Genomic DNA, 12,907 nt, shown 5'->3' on the forward strand with positions numbered 1-12,907 from the left:
CACATGTACCCTAAAACTTAAAGTATAATAATAATATTAATAAAAAAAGTCTGATGAATGAATGAATGAATGAATACAAAACAGCCCCAAGTGGGTCAATTGGCCTAGCTCCACACAAGATTGCAGATTTTGCTTCTAGCACCATCCAACCAATTAGCTTAAAACTGAACTTGTATCCAGGAAGAAGCAGGTGGGGAATCATGTAGTTGTTTAATGGCAGTTAGAAGATTGAGTCAAAGCAAATGGATCTGTAGACTCATCAGATACAGAAAGACTCCATACTTCCCCCTTTCCACAGGCTGCCCCTAAGCAGCCTCATCTAGTGCCCTGTCTTGAGCCACACTCCCACACAGATGAACTCCAAATCTGTTCTAGCCCCATAACTTCTCTTCTCAGCCCCAGATGCACATGTCAGTTGCCTGCTGGCCATCTCCTCATGAACGGCCCACAAGTACCACGGACCCTGTAAGAACAAGACTCAAGGCTTAAGATCACATTCCCTTCTCCCTGCCCCCTCAACCAGCATTTCCTGCATCCCCTGAATTCATGAATGGACCTCTATTTCTGTAAAACAAAGAAGAAGAACAATAACAACAACAAAAACCAACATTCACACATATTTAACACTTATTGTAGTCAATGCACTGTGCACTATCTTGCAACAATTAGATTTTTTTTTGCACGGATGAGCAAATCAAAGCTCAGATAGGTGAAGTAACTTGCCCCAGGTCACATCATTAGGAAGTAAGAGTTGAGATTCAAATTCAGGGAGTCTGGCTCCAGAGCCCAATGTGTAGCCACGAGACTATATAGAACCTCAGGCACCATGGTGGATATTCCTTGTTTGCAACCGCACACCTATGGTCATGGCCATTTCCCTGCCTCTCTGTGTCCGGCGCTGGGTGTCAGGAGGCTGACCTCTGCACCATTCCATCTGGGCTCTCTTGCTCTTTGGCTGAAGATTGGTTGTGGCCAGTGGGAGATTAGAAGGTTGGAAGGCAGACAGGTCAGGATATTTATTTCCCCAACCCCAACCTGCTCCCTCTCTGCCTCACTCTCACACTAGCAGGAGCTGAATTCTATGGTGACAACTCCTCCATGGCTCTGGGAACGCCATTTCCCTATATTACTCCTTCAGGCCTAGGGATAGTGATAGTTCCCACTGTTGCTTGTTCCTGGATGCTTCTCCATAGTTATCAGTTCCCTGATCCCTGCTTATACCTCTGTAAGTAGCCCTTTCCTTCTTTTTATCTGCTGGATCCTGATGGATTCAGACTCTGAACTTTAGTGGCAGCTAAGATGTCTTCCTCACAACATGCCCCACATCCCAGCATTATGAAAACCCTAATTCTGTCCTTGGAGCAGCTTCAGCATTTTGTTCTCCCTCTCTATCCCTCCTGCTCTGCCTTACACTACCCCCTTAGCTTCCCACTTGGCCTCCCTCCATGCAGGCTCTTATATCTTCAATATATTGGCCACAACATTCAGATACCCCCCACCCCATCCCCACACCCCCTAAGCTAGATTCACTCTTTGACTTGCCTCTTCAAAACCCTTCAATGGTTCCCTGAAGCCCAAAGAATATAATCAAACTCTGAAGCCCACAGTAGCTTTTATTCATTTTTGTATTTCTCCCAGGGCCTTTGCCTGCATTCAGTAAATGTTGTGTTGAATGAAGAAAGCATTATCATTACTTGGGGAGTTCCGACAAAGTGTAAAGCACAGGGAAACAGGACTGCAGTGAGAACATCCTCAAAGATTTTATAATCACAACCAGTGTTGCAGTCCCCAAATGAGCAGCTTCAAAAACCCTTCAAAGCCTCATCTATTTTTGCCCTTGCCCCCTACTTACCAGCTCCACTGCCTGCGCACACAGTAGAGTTTCAGGCCTCTCTCCTTCCTAACAGGGAGGCAAGGTTGTGCATGGCTGGTAGCACAGGCTGGTGTCAAACTGCCCACATCCAGGTCCTGCTGTCCTGTGTATGTAAATAAATTACTGGACCTCTCAAAGTCTATACTTTTCCGCTGTGCCACTCTGCTACACTCAAAGTCTATACTTTTCTCTGTAAAATAAGGACAAAAATAGTACTTACCTCATAGGATTTTCGAGGGGACTAAATGTGTGATACTAATAGATTACTAAGCACAGTGTTAAGAACAAAGCAAGCTCTCAAAAACGTGATCAGGTGTTACCATCTACCCTATTATAGGGCAGGATTATTATATTACACATTACTATGTCTATTGTATAAGCTATTTGTTTTTAGCAGTACTTATACATAGACTTTTAAATTTAAACCTTCCCAGAATACTGAGATATATCATTAGCTCTACTTTGCAGAAGAAAAAAATGACATACAGTAAGTTATGTGTCTTGCTTGAGGTCACACCATCATAACTGCTGGAGTCAAGCCTGGAATATGGGACTTCTGACTCAAAAATATGCTATTCTTCTGTGTCCTATGTGCTATTTATGTATTATTATGTCCAATTAAAAGTCAGCTCACTTTTCAAGGCCTAATTCAAATGCTCCTTCCTCCATGACATCTTCCTTAATTCCTTAGGAGGGATTTATCAGTTTTTCTTCTGCACTCTGGAAGCATCTCAATTATAGACCTGTTCAGATGAACTGAAGTCAGTATTCAGATGAACTGAACTCAGTAGTGTATTATCCTTGGGAATTTTCATTTCTGGCTTCTTCACTCAACTATGATTGCTTTGAGGACATAACTTCTGTCACATTCATAGGTGCAATCTCAATGACCATCTCAGTACCTTGCATAAAGTAGACAGCAAGGCAATAAATGTGCAGCAGAATTTATCAGTCAGGATCAATAAAAACATAAACAGTTATGTTGCAGTAACAAACAATCCCAAAATTTTAGTGGCTTTCCAAAAAAAGAAGACCTATTTCTCACTTATTCTATCTTTACCTTGCAAGTTCCATCATCTTTGTTTTGGGACCCTGGCTGAAGAGATGGACAAAGGGAAGATGGTAGAAGGCACAGTAGCCCTTAGGGCTTCTGCTTGGAAATAATATACATGCTTCTATCCACATCACATCTCATTGGCCAAGGTAAGACACACGACCCTTTTTGATGTCAGGGGGCAGGGAAGGTAACATTCTTCCAGAGAGGGATTCCGATCGTAAAGGAACAGAAATCGGATCAGAAAGAGCAACAGTGAATCTGGAAACTGGCTCCATTTACAAGGAAACCAACAGCTAGTTACTGAGAAGGCTGTGATGAATCAGAAGTATCTTACACAGTCTGACATGCAATCCTCATTCAAACACACACACATATACACACACACATGCCCATGAGATTACAGATTAGTTTCAGTTGTACAGGCAAAGAAGCAAAGGCTTAAGGAAGTTAAACAAATATAGTAAGATAACATAGAAAAATAATAGGACCCAGATCTGACTTGGGTCTAAGTCACTCCAAACTCACTTTCTCCTAAATTACACTGTCCTCTTAGGGTTTTGAGGCTCCTAATTAGAATACATCAGTCTTTCTACCAAAAAAAAAATGGAGTAAATCCTTAGTACTTGACGTGTTTCCCTTGAAACAGCAGTATTGGCATCATGGGCTAGACATGCAGGTTCAGACTTCACCCCAGACCCACTGGATCAAAATCTGCATTTGAACAACACCCTCAAGTGATTTGAAGGCATATTCCAAATTGAGAAGCACTGAGGTAGATACCAAAGGCAGAAAACAAACAAACAAACTAACAAAAAAAACAAAAAATGCATTTTTTTCCCATCTTGACTTGGAATCAGGGAGCAGGAGAGAGCCGACTGTGGTGCTACCTACTGTTTGAAAACCTCATCAAGTTAATTTTGTTGAAACAGGAGAAAACGACATAAAACCTGTTCCTAGTACCCATGTGGGAGAAGCATTAACAGATGCTGCCAAAAGCCCATGACCTTAATTGTATCTTCCAACACTTTGCCTAATTCCCTGAATCTCATCATTCACTCTACATTAATTAAGACCTCAAACATGCATTGTATTGTGTACTGCTACGTACCAGAACAGTGCCAAGCACTGGACATGATGAGGGTCTCTGTCCTAGAGTGGCTTACTGTCTAGAAGAGCGAGACAGTATAAAAATGGATACACTATGATCAGGGTTCATCAAAGAGTCAACAATGCTCTTTGGGGTCCTAGAAGAAGAAGGCACTGTATTGAGGTATCAGGGAAGGCTTCCTGGAGGATATACATGCAGGAGGAGGTCTTCAAGATGTGAACAGGAGCTTACTGTGCAGGGGCTGGGAAGGGACTTGTAGCTTTAAGGCAGCACCCAGCAGGTCAGAGGCCACTGAGGCAGAAAAGCAATACTGGGTATGACTGGTGCTTTGGGTTGGTGTGCGGAGAGGTGAGACCTTTTGTGGTTCTGGGTGTACATTTCTAGAAGATTTAAGTGTTGGTGCCTTATGGGATGAGGAGTTCTTGTTAGGAAAAATCACCGGGTCAGCACCTCTCTAGGTGTCTCAGTTTTGATCACCTGTAGGCTCAGACCCTACCTTGTTTCTGAGCTAATCTGGAACACTGCAGGGAGCAGTTTTAGATTTTTTAGTGTAGCCTTTAAAAGAACATTGTTTTAATCTAGAGCAAATATATACACAGACAGTCCTTGAATTGCCATGGTTCTACTTAATATTTTGACTTTAGGATGGGTTTATATGGACATAGCCTCATTGAGTTCCTCAGGGAACTCCTTACAACTTAGGATGGGGTTATGGTTTCTGCCGATTTTGCATGTTGCTTTGTCACCATTGTAAAGTGAAAAAATTGTAAGTCAAATCATCCTAAATCGGGGCCCATCTGCTGTGCTGACCACATTAAATGCATTTTTTACTTACAATATTTTTGACTTATGATGGGTTTACCAGGGATATAACCCCATCATAAATGGAGAAGCACCTATCTATACATACATGTAATGGTTAAACAGATGGTAGTGTGAGAGTACAGAGACAGACCACCTAACCCAGCTTATTGGGGAGGTCAGGGAAGGCTTGCAGGAAGATGTGATGACTGAGATGAATTGTAAAAGACAGGTAGGGTGCAGTGGGAACAAAGGCCCAGCATAGCAAGTGTGGGGGTGCTGCAAGCTCACATGGCTGGAATATGAAGTCAGAGGTAGGAGCGAGTGGTTCCTGAGCATCATAAGATTCCAGGACTTCTTCTGCTTAAGTGGTGGAAGCTGTTCTCCACCTCCTAACCCTAACCTTCCCACTCTGTACCCCAATTTGGCTCCAAGGCTGGGGACTCCCAGCAGCAAGGACAAAAAGAACATTACTGACCACGTGGAGCATCAGGAAGGTGAAGACCAGAAGGGGAGAGCGCTGTTGAAAATGTGATGCTGGCAGGGACCGGGGTGTGGTGAGACTGCTTTAGAAGAACCCAGGGGCCAAAGGAGTGAGTCATCTGCCCACCAGCCTCTTAGTCACAAGTGATAATGTAGGTGCCCCTGGATGAGAAGGCAATTAAAATACAATTAACCTCCCTGAACTGCAGTTCTGAGTGCACATCAGAAAGAGATTTGGAGATCATTAAATATGGGGCTGTGAGTGGAGGGGCTATAGGATAAGGGTGGCAGGAGAAAAACCTTTCTTTGAGGTCATTGGCTACTTTTGTGGTTCTCTCCCACAATCGGTCCACAGTATAATAACGTAGGAACCATTGCATGGGGGAAGCAGAGGGACCCAAAAGAATTTCTTCCTCTCTTCAATCCTCCCTCCCCAGGCCTGGCCTTAAGAAGAGACTCAGCAACTGCAAATCATGTTGCTGAGTAAAAATGTTTCTTGGGATGGGAGGGGATGAGAGGGGAACCTACTCTTGATAGCTGCCTCCTAGGAGCCTGTTCAGTTTATTAAATTAGCAGGTTTCTCTCTTGTGGTGAGGGCACTGGAGAATGAAATGCCAAATAGATCAGTTTCATGGAATTGGAGACTGATAAATTTTCAGAGCTGGAAGGCTCCTTGGAGAGCATCTGGTTCAACCCCCCCTCGTTTTTCAGATGAAGAACCTGCAGCCCAGAGATAGGAAATGACTTCCCTAAAGTCACGGTTGCTACTTGAAACTCAAAACTAAGAGGCATTGAGTGAGGGAAGTGAATTCTCTCCATAATTTATCACTTCTGCATGTTTAGTGTTCTTTATATTAAATTTACTTTTGATAAGGAGTACCTGCAATCTCAGAGGTAATTTACTGTGAAAGATAATTCTTAAGATTTGCCATCATTATTAACATTGACTTGAATTATGTTGTATTTTATATCAGAACGTAGGTTTAATTTAGCCCATGGAAAACAATTCTCTCAGTTATAAAAAAAAACTTACTTCCACAAAGAGAAGGAGCTTAGCTTCTCACCAAGATAATACTAACGTAAGTTGCAATTCCTTGCCTACATCTGCCTTTTCAATCAGATGTTCACACCTGTCCTTAAAATCTTCGTTAGCGTCCATTGTTAGGTTGGGCACCTTGGGACAGATAATCAGCCCTCACTCCAGTGCAGATGCAAAGAGGCGGGAGAGTTAGCTAGGCTGAACCTGAGTTAATGAACATCAAGTGCCAGGTGCTGGGCTAGACCCTGAGGATGCAAAAGTCAGAACCATTAGGAACAATTCTTCTGGAGCTCACCACCTCATGAGGACTGGGCTAGCTTAGTGAGAATCAGAAAAGGCAGATGAAGAAGCGTTATGTTCCAAGATAAGCATGTCCTCCTTCTAGCATTTGTATAGATCTAGGCTTAGTCCAGGGTGAGGCCATGTTCCATGACCCCAGCATGGAGCTCCATTTCTCTCTCTAAAGGTGCACTGTTCAATATGGTAGCCACTAGCCACAAGTCGTTATTTAAATTTACTTTCATTAATTTAAAAAAGTAAAAATTCCATTCCTTAGTTATGTTAGCTAATTTCAGGGGCTCAATGGCCACCTGTGGCTAGTGGCTACCTTACTGGACAGTGCAGGGTTAATCCTTGCTGCCACTTAGACAATTCTATTGGACAGCTCTCTATTTGCTGACCCCAGAATTTGGTCTGTCATGCATTATAACACCAACTGGCTCCCATGTTGACTGTATTTTCTCCAAGTGAGACTGGGGTAAACACCCATCCTGCATGGGTCATTTGCATTTCCTCAAAAGCCTTTGCATGTCTTCTATTGCAGCTGCATTCTACCCAATAATAGTGGAAACCAACATTCATCACGTGTTTGCCTTATGCCACCATGATTCTAAGTGCTTTCAACACAATCCTCCTTTTGATCCTCAAGAAACCCTGTGCACACAAAGAGGAGGTGGCAGAGGCCCAGTGAAGGACTTGTCCACCTTCACCAGCCATGGATAGGGACCCAGGAGTTGGATCTGGGCATGCTGCTTCAGAGTCCAGGTCTGAACCACCGTCCATTCTATGTAGAGTTGGGCCTAGTCCTGGCCCTACCCTTTGCTGGATGTTGCCTTTAGGAAAGACACAAACACTTCAATTCTCACTAAGCCCTCTTCTCCAATGGGAGAAGCTGCTTTCACTCTCTGCAGGGGCTTTGTGAGGCTCAGGGACAGGGAGAGTGCTTTTTGAATTTTAAAGCCCTGAGTGTTAGGGGCCATTATGAAAAACAAAAATACTGCAAATACTGTCCTTCAGATCAGCACTCTGCAGGCTGGAGAATCACCTGGAGAGCTTGGTAAGCAGCAGACACTCTGATCCACCCCAAGCAGACTGTGTGAGTCCAGAGCCAGGCATCTTCAGGTATAGCAAGTGCCTCGGGTGGTCTGAGACAGGAATCCTTGAGCCCTTCTTTGAAGAATGCTGATTATAAGTTTCCGGCTTTGGTGCCTGATGTAGAGGAGTGGGTGGCTGGTTCTCTCTTCAGATTCCTCCAGGATCTCAATTTTCAAAGGCAGGTGCCCACTCCACCCTGTGCACATCTGAACAGGGAATTAGTCCCAGTGGGGAACATGATATATCACCCGGCATTCCAGAAGTGGAGGCTACCCTGTGTTCCTTACCACCCAAGTCTTAGTGTGAACTCACTTGAAAGAAACAGAAGACTATCTGAAGAACACATAGTCCTTCCAATTTTGTGAGAGATTCTCCATCTCTTTCAGGCCAGATCATTCAAAAGAAGCAAGCTTAGATAGCATGGTCTGTCTGCTTGTAGAAAGGCTTTTACTAAATTATACTTGGGCATGAGGTCATCGGCCTACTATAAGAAAAGATGCTATAATGAACCTGTCTTCTGAATATACTGAAGGGATGCTGTGGAGGATACTACATCATAACATTTTCTCCTTGGCAGGATCAACACTCAGGTTTCAGGCCCAGAAAAAAACTAACTTTTCTTTGAGCAGTCACTTTAGGTTAATCCCATAGACACTGAGGTTTGAGAGTTAACACATTTCATTTTTCCCTCTTGTTTTGGCTGTTAGGAAGCCCAGAGCCAAATTTACTACCCACCTCTAACAAGATGTTAAGGCATATGATGTGCAAACACTAATCCTACTGCTGGCTTCGTGTTTTTAAAGTTTATTTATTTATTTTAGTGAGCTATGAAGACAACTAAACATTTAAAGGGGAGGGGTGAGAGTAGGGGGCTTGCAGTACACATCCCACAGCAAACAAATTACAACTTCTTTCTTAGGCACTTCTCTACACCCACATCCCTCCCTGGAGCTATTTGGGTGGTGGTTTCATTTTTCTGCTCTATTTTTTCTTTACTTGGCATCTTTGTCTACCATTTTCCCTTCTGACATTGTGTGCAATTTTGTAATCTGCTTTGTTTATTTTAATGAGCCATGCAGTTTATGAATCTTTGCCTAGAATAGTTATTAATTGTCCAGTAGGTGTCTGGAATTGTTCTAGGTGCCAGGACTACAACAGTGAATAAACTCGGCAAGGTTCTTGTTGTAACAGAGTTATGTTTGTACTCATTTGAGAAATAGACAATGAACAAGAAAGAGAATAAATAAATAATGTAATTTCACAGAATGGTGAGATCTGTAAAGGAAACAGAAAATATGATAGCAAGGGATGGGGAAGGAGAAATATTAGGTAAGGCGGGAAGAAAGGCCTCTCTGGGAGAGGGAGTTTGAACTGAGATCTGAGTGAGAAGGAGACAGACACTTAGAGGTCTGGGGAATAAGGATCCCAGACAGAGTAGATAGCAAGTGCAAAGGCCCTGATGCAGAGACAGCATGCTGTGTTGGAAGAATATTTACGCCCACCTGGCAACCTCCTCATCAGCTTTCAAACCCTTCTCACCTCTATCTACTTTCTCCTTGAAATAATCCCATCACTCTACATTACTCAAATAGAAGGGCAACCACTTCGTGCCTTCCATATCTGTATAATCCACACTGAATTGTACCTGGCAACTGACCAGCATGCCTTCCTCACTGGACTGTAGGCACATGGGGCATCCTTGAGAATAAGAATAGCATTTTCCTTCTCTCCAACACAGTTCCTGGCACACAGAAATCACATAGTTTTATTTCTCAAAATAAGCCATAGCTAAAGTTACAATGCAGGCAGTGCTCACACTGGAGTACTACCTACATGTTTTGGGCTAAGGTACAGTTTTTCCATTTGCAGAGCCCCGAGCTGCCTGTGCTCCGCTGGTGACCTGAATAGATTAGCAGCAGCGAACCAAGGGAGCATAGCCAGCTCCCGTTTGGGAGGAGGGAGCTGGCTCCCTCCTTGCTCCAAAGAGCCCCTTTTGGGAAAGGAATGACTCTTAAGGCAGTATTGGATTTCCCTGCAAGATTTATGACCCAATTTAAAGTTATGGGGCTTTTATTAATTATAATAAACACCAATTTCATTACACTTCAACTTCCAAAGAAATTACATACTATGGAAGGGAAATAAAATGTTAGTTTTGTGCTAATGCCAGGCACACATTAACTGGCTGGGTACCCAGGAGACCAAGTTCCTGTTGGCTGCTCAGCTGGTGCAGAGGAAGGGGCATTTTGGAAGGGAGAGCCTGAGGGAGCTGTTTCCAGGATTTAAATCCATTTGGTCAAAAACAAAGTAAATTAACTGTGCTGCCACATGGTGCTTGCAGGACCACTTCCTTTATGAGGAGCTGTAATGAGTAACACACTTTGGGCCCTGAGCCTGGAGTTCTAGACCTGTCTCTGGCTTGCTGTGTGATCTCAGATGAGTTACTTCCCCTCTCTGTGTCTTGATTTTCTCATCTTAAAAATAAAGACTTAACGTAGGTCAGGTATGGCAAATAGATTTAATATCTTATGCAAATTCCAATTTATAGGAGGTAGTCACCTACAAGGCTATTTTGAGAAGGTTTCTGAAGTTTCGTCCAGGATTCCTGGGAAAGAGCAATATGATCAATTAGCAGTATCAGCTGGGGACACAAATTAGGAGGATGGAGGTCATGGTCTGGGTATTCACTATCCCAGGACTTGATGGTCTCAAAGGTCCATTCTGGATTTGTGGTTTAATTTAAGGCTGTGTTCTTGGGATCCTGGAAACTTAGTCCATAATCCTTATTTATAAAATAGATGTAGTGGATCATAAGTCACATGGTGTTGTACAGATTCAATGATGCTACATATGGCATGTGCTTTGCAACAGAAGACACTCAACAAATATTCCTATTCTTCAGCATTTCCATCCTACCCTCATAAAACCATGCTAATTGGTGACCCTCTCCATTTGTTGAGGGTTTTGGAGAACTTCCTCTTCCAAAGCCTCACCTCAGTCAAAGTCAGATACATGGGCTTTTTCAGCTACTTGCCCCTTGAGCATCATCTGAAGCCCCACAGATTCCAAAAGAAGAATTTTGTTTTTAAAGCTGATTGGCTCTATATTTTATTGTTATGGACTTCCCAACTCTGTGCTACTTTTATTTTTGCTGGGGAATGGAAAATATTTTGTCACTTCTAGGATGATAGGGCTTGATGAACCCCCTTAGGGGGTGGAGAAGAGGATTCAGCAACTTTGCACAATTGCTTCCTGCCAGATGTGAAATTAAGCTTCTGGGTGCAAACCCAGAGTACATTTGGATAATGGATGGGAAAGCCTGCTGGGCTTATGGGGAGGAAGAAGAGAAGAGGGGAAGGACAGAATGAGAGAAGCTCTGCGTGCGTGCGTGCGTGCGTGCGTGTGTGTGTGTGTGTGTGTGTGTGTGTGTGTGTTCATGTGCTCTCTGGGCCTCATGATGTTCCAGTATTACATATTTCCAAGCAGAGAACAGATATCAGCAGAGCGAGTTGTTCTCTCCTGGGTGCCCTCACCTCTTCCCTGATGCCACCACTATGAGAGTCATATCGTTGTCCCTGAGTGGTTGAGAGCCCACATTTTGCCGTTATTCAGACCTGGGTTTGAATTTCAGCCTCAATACTCACACTAGCTATGTGCACTTGAGCAATCTTTGATGGGCCTCAGTATCCTCACCTGCAAAATGAGATTAATAAATAGTGGGGTGGATAATCCATTGGTGTTTTGCAAGTGAACGTGTGAGAGAAGTGCTATGTTCAAGACACCTTATTGATGTGTTTTCAGCTTAGCCTTAAGTTACTGCATGAAAGAGACAGGACATTGACTCTTGCTGTGCCTTGGTCTCCCCAGCAGTCTACAAAGGAATGAGACAGGATGAAATCCCAGGCCCTTCTAGTTTTGACCATTGGCATAAATGATAAACATTGTCTGCACTCCTGGAGTACAGGGAGGATGCACCCCATGCATCCTGAATGCATGAACTACTCTGATGAATACTTTCTGCTGCCCACCCTGCAATTAGAGCCCATATTGGGAAATTTCAGACTTTGACGTTGCGCTGCTGGGTTGTACATTCAAGTTCTGCCTTTACTTAAATATGTGGCTATGAACAAGTCACCTATGCTGTCCAGTCCTCCTTTGGATCCAGTCTTTTTGAATAAATGGGGGTTAGTGGCAAGCATTGAAGTTTTTTTTGCTATTTTTTTTTTTTTTTAGATGGAGTCTAACTCTGTTGCCCAGGCTGGGGTGCAGAGGCACAATCTTGGCTTACTGCAACCTCTGCCTCCTGGGTTCAAGCAATCCTCGTGTCTCAGCCTCCTGAGTAGCTGGGATTACAGACATGCACCACCACACCCAGCTAATTTTTGTGTTTTTAGTAGAGACGGGGTTTCACCATATTGGTCAGGTTGGTCTCGAACTCCTGACCTCAAATGATCTGCCCACCTCAGCCTCCCAAGGCCACCACACCCGGCCTGAATATTTTCTTCCATGTCATGTGTTTAGCACCTTGCCTGGCTGGTTATAAATAGTGAAGCAGCATGGCCTGCCATTCTGGGCTTGTAGTGCCCGGACTGAGACCTCCATGCATGCTAGACTGTCCTTCTCTTAAGAAACAATAAAGCCAATTTTGCCTCTTAAGGGGTTGCCTAGTTTACTTGGAGCCAACAGACAAATAGCTTTTTAAAATCCTTCATAATTCAAGCGTGGTTGATACCTGGATGTCTTCCCAGGCTGAGTTGATCCTGGTAGGGAATCTTCTCTGATTATCCTCTACCATGCTGTGATTTGGTATCTGTCCCACAAGTCCTGAAACATTGAGATTCTCTTTAAATCATGTCTTACGAGGCAGAACAGTTGTAAGGCAAGAACATGGACTCTAGGTCCCATAAAACCAGAATTCAAATCCTGAATTCACCACTTACGGGGTGCATAACTTTGCAGCAAATACACTTAACTTATTTGAGTCTCAGTTCCTTCATCTGTAAAATGGAGACAACAGCAGCTGCCCTGTCAGGGTAATTATGACGATTAAATGAGATTAAAAAAAAATGTAAAGCACTTTTTCAGTAGGCACTCAGTAGAAACAATGTTTTCCAATGTGAATTGTTACTCTGTTTATATTGTTATCCAATCAACCTTTAATTACCTCTAGGC

General features: G+C 43.4%; 1 protein-coding gene across 1 annotated transcript in view, besides 1 other annotated feature; it reads right to left on the bottom strand.

The window, feature by feature from the left end:
• The window catches only part of ASIC2 (acid sensing ion channel subunit 2), a 1,143,682-nt gene that overhangs the window by 870,129 nt on the left and 260,646 nt on the right, over positions 1 to 12,907 (bottom strand). The gene's annotated exons all lie outside the window — the stretch shown is intronic.
• Positions 4,835 to 6,034: an enhancer, noted in NCBI's record as "CDK7 strongly-dependent group 2 enhancer chr17:32215069-32216268 (GRCh37/hg19 assembly coordinates)". NCBI's record gives its function as "activates an origin of replication core promoter dependent on BRD2, BRD4, P300/CBP, MED14 and CDK7 cofactors, with strong dependence on CDK7, by STARR-seq in HCT116 cells {active_cell/tissue: HCT116}" and the evidence as "EXISTENCE:reporter gene assay evidence [ECO:0000049][PMID:35650434]".

Source organism: Homo sapiens, chromosome 17 (assembly GCF_000001405.40).
Source record: "Homo sapiens chromosome 17, GRCh38.p14 Primary Assembly".
Classification (NCBI taxonomy): domain Eukaryota; kingdom Metazoa; phylum Chordata; class Mammalia; order Primates; family Hominidae; genus Homo; species Homo sapiens.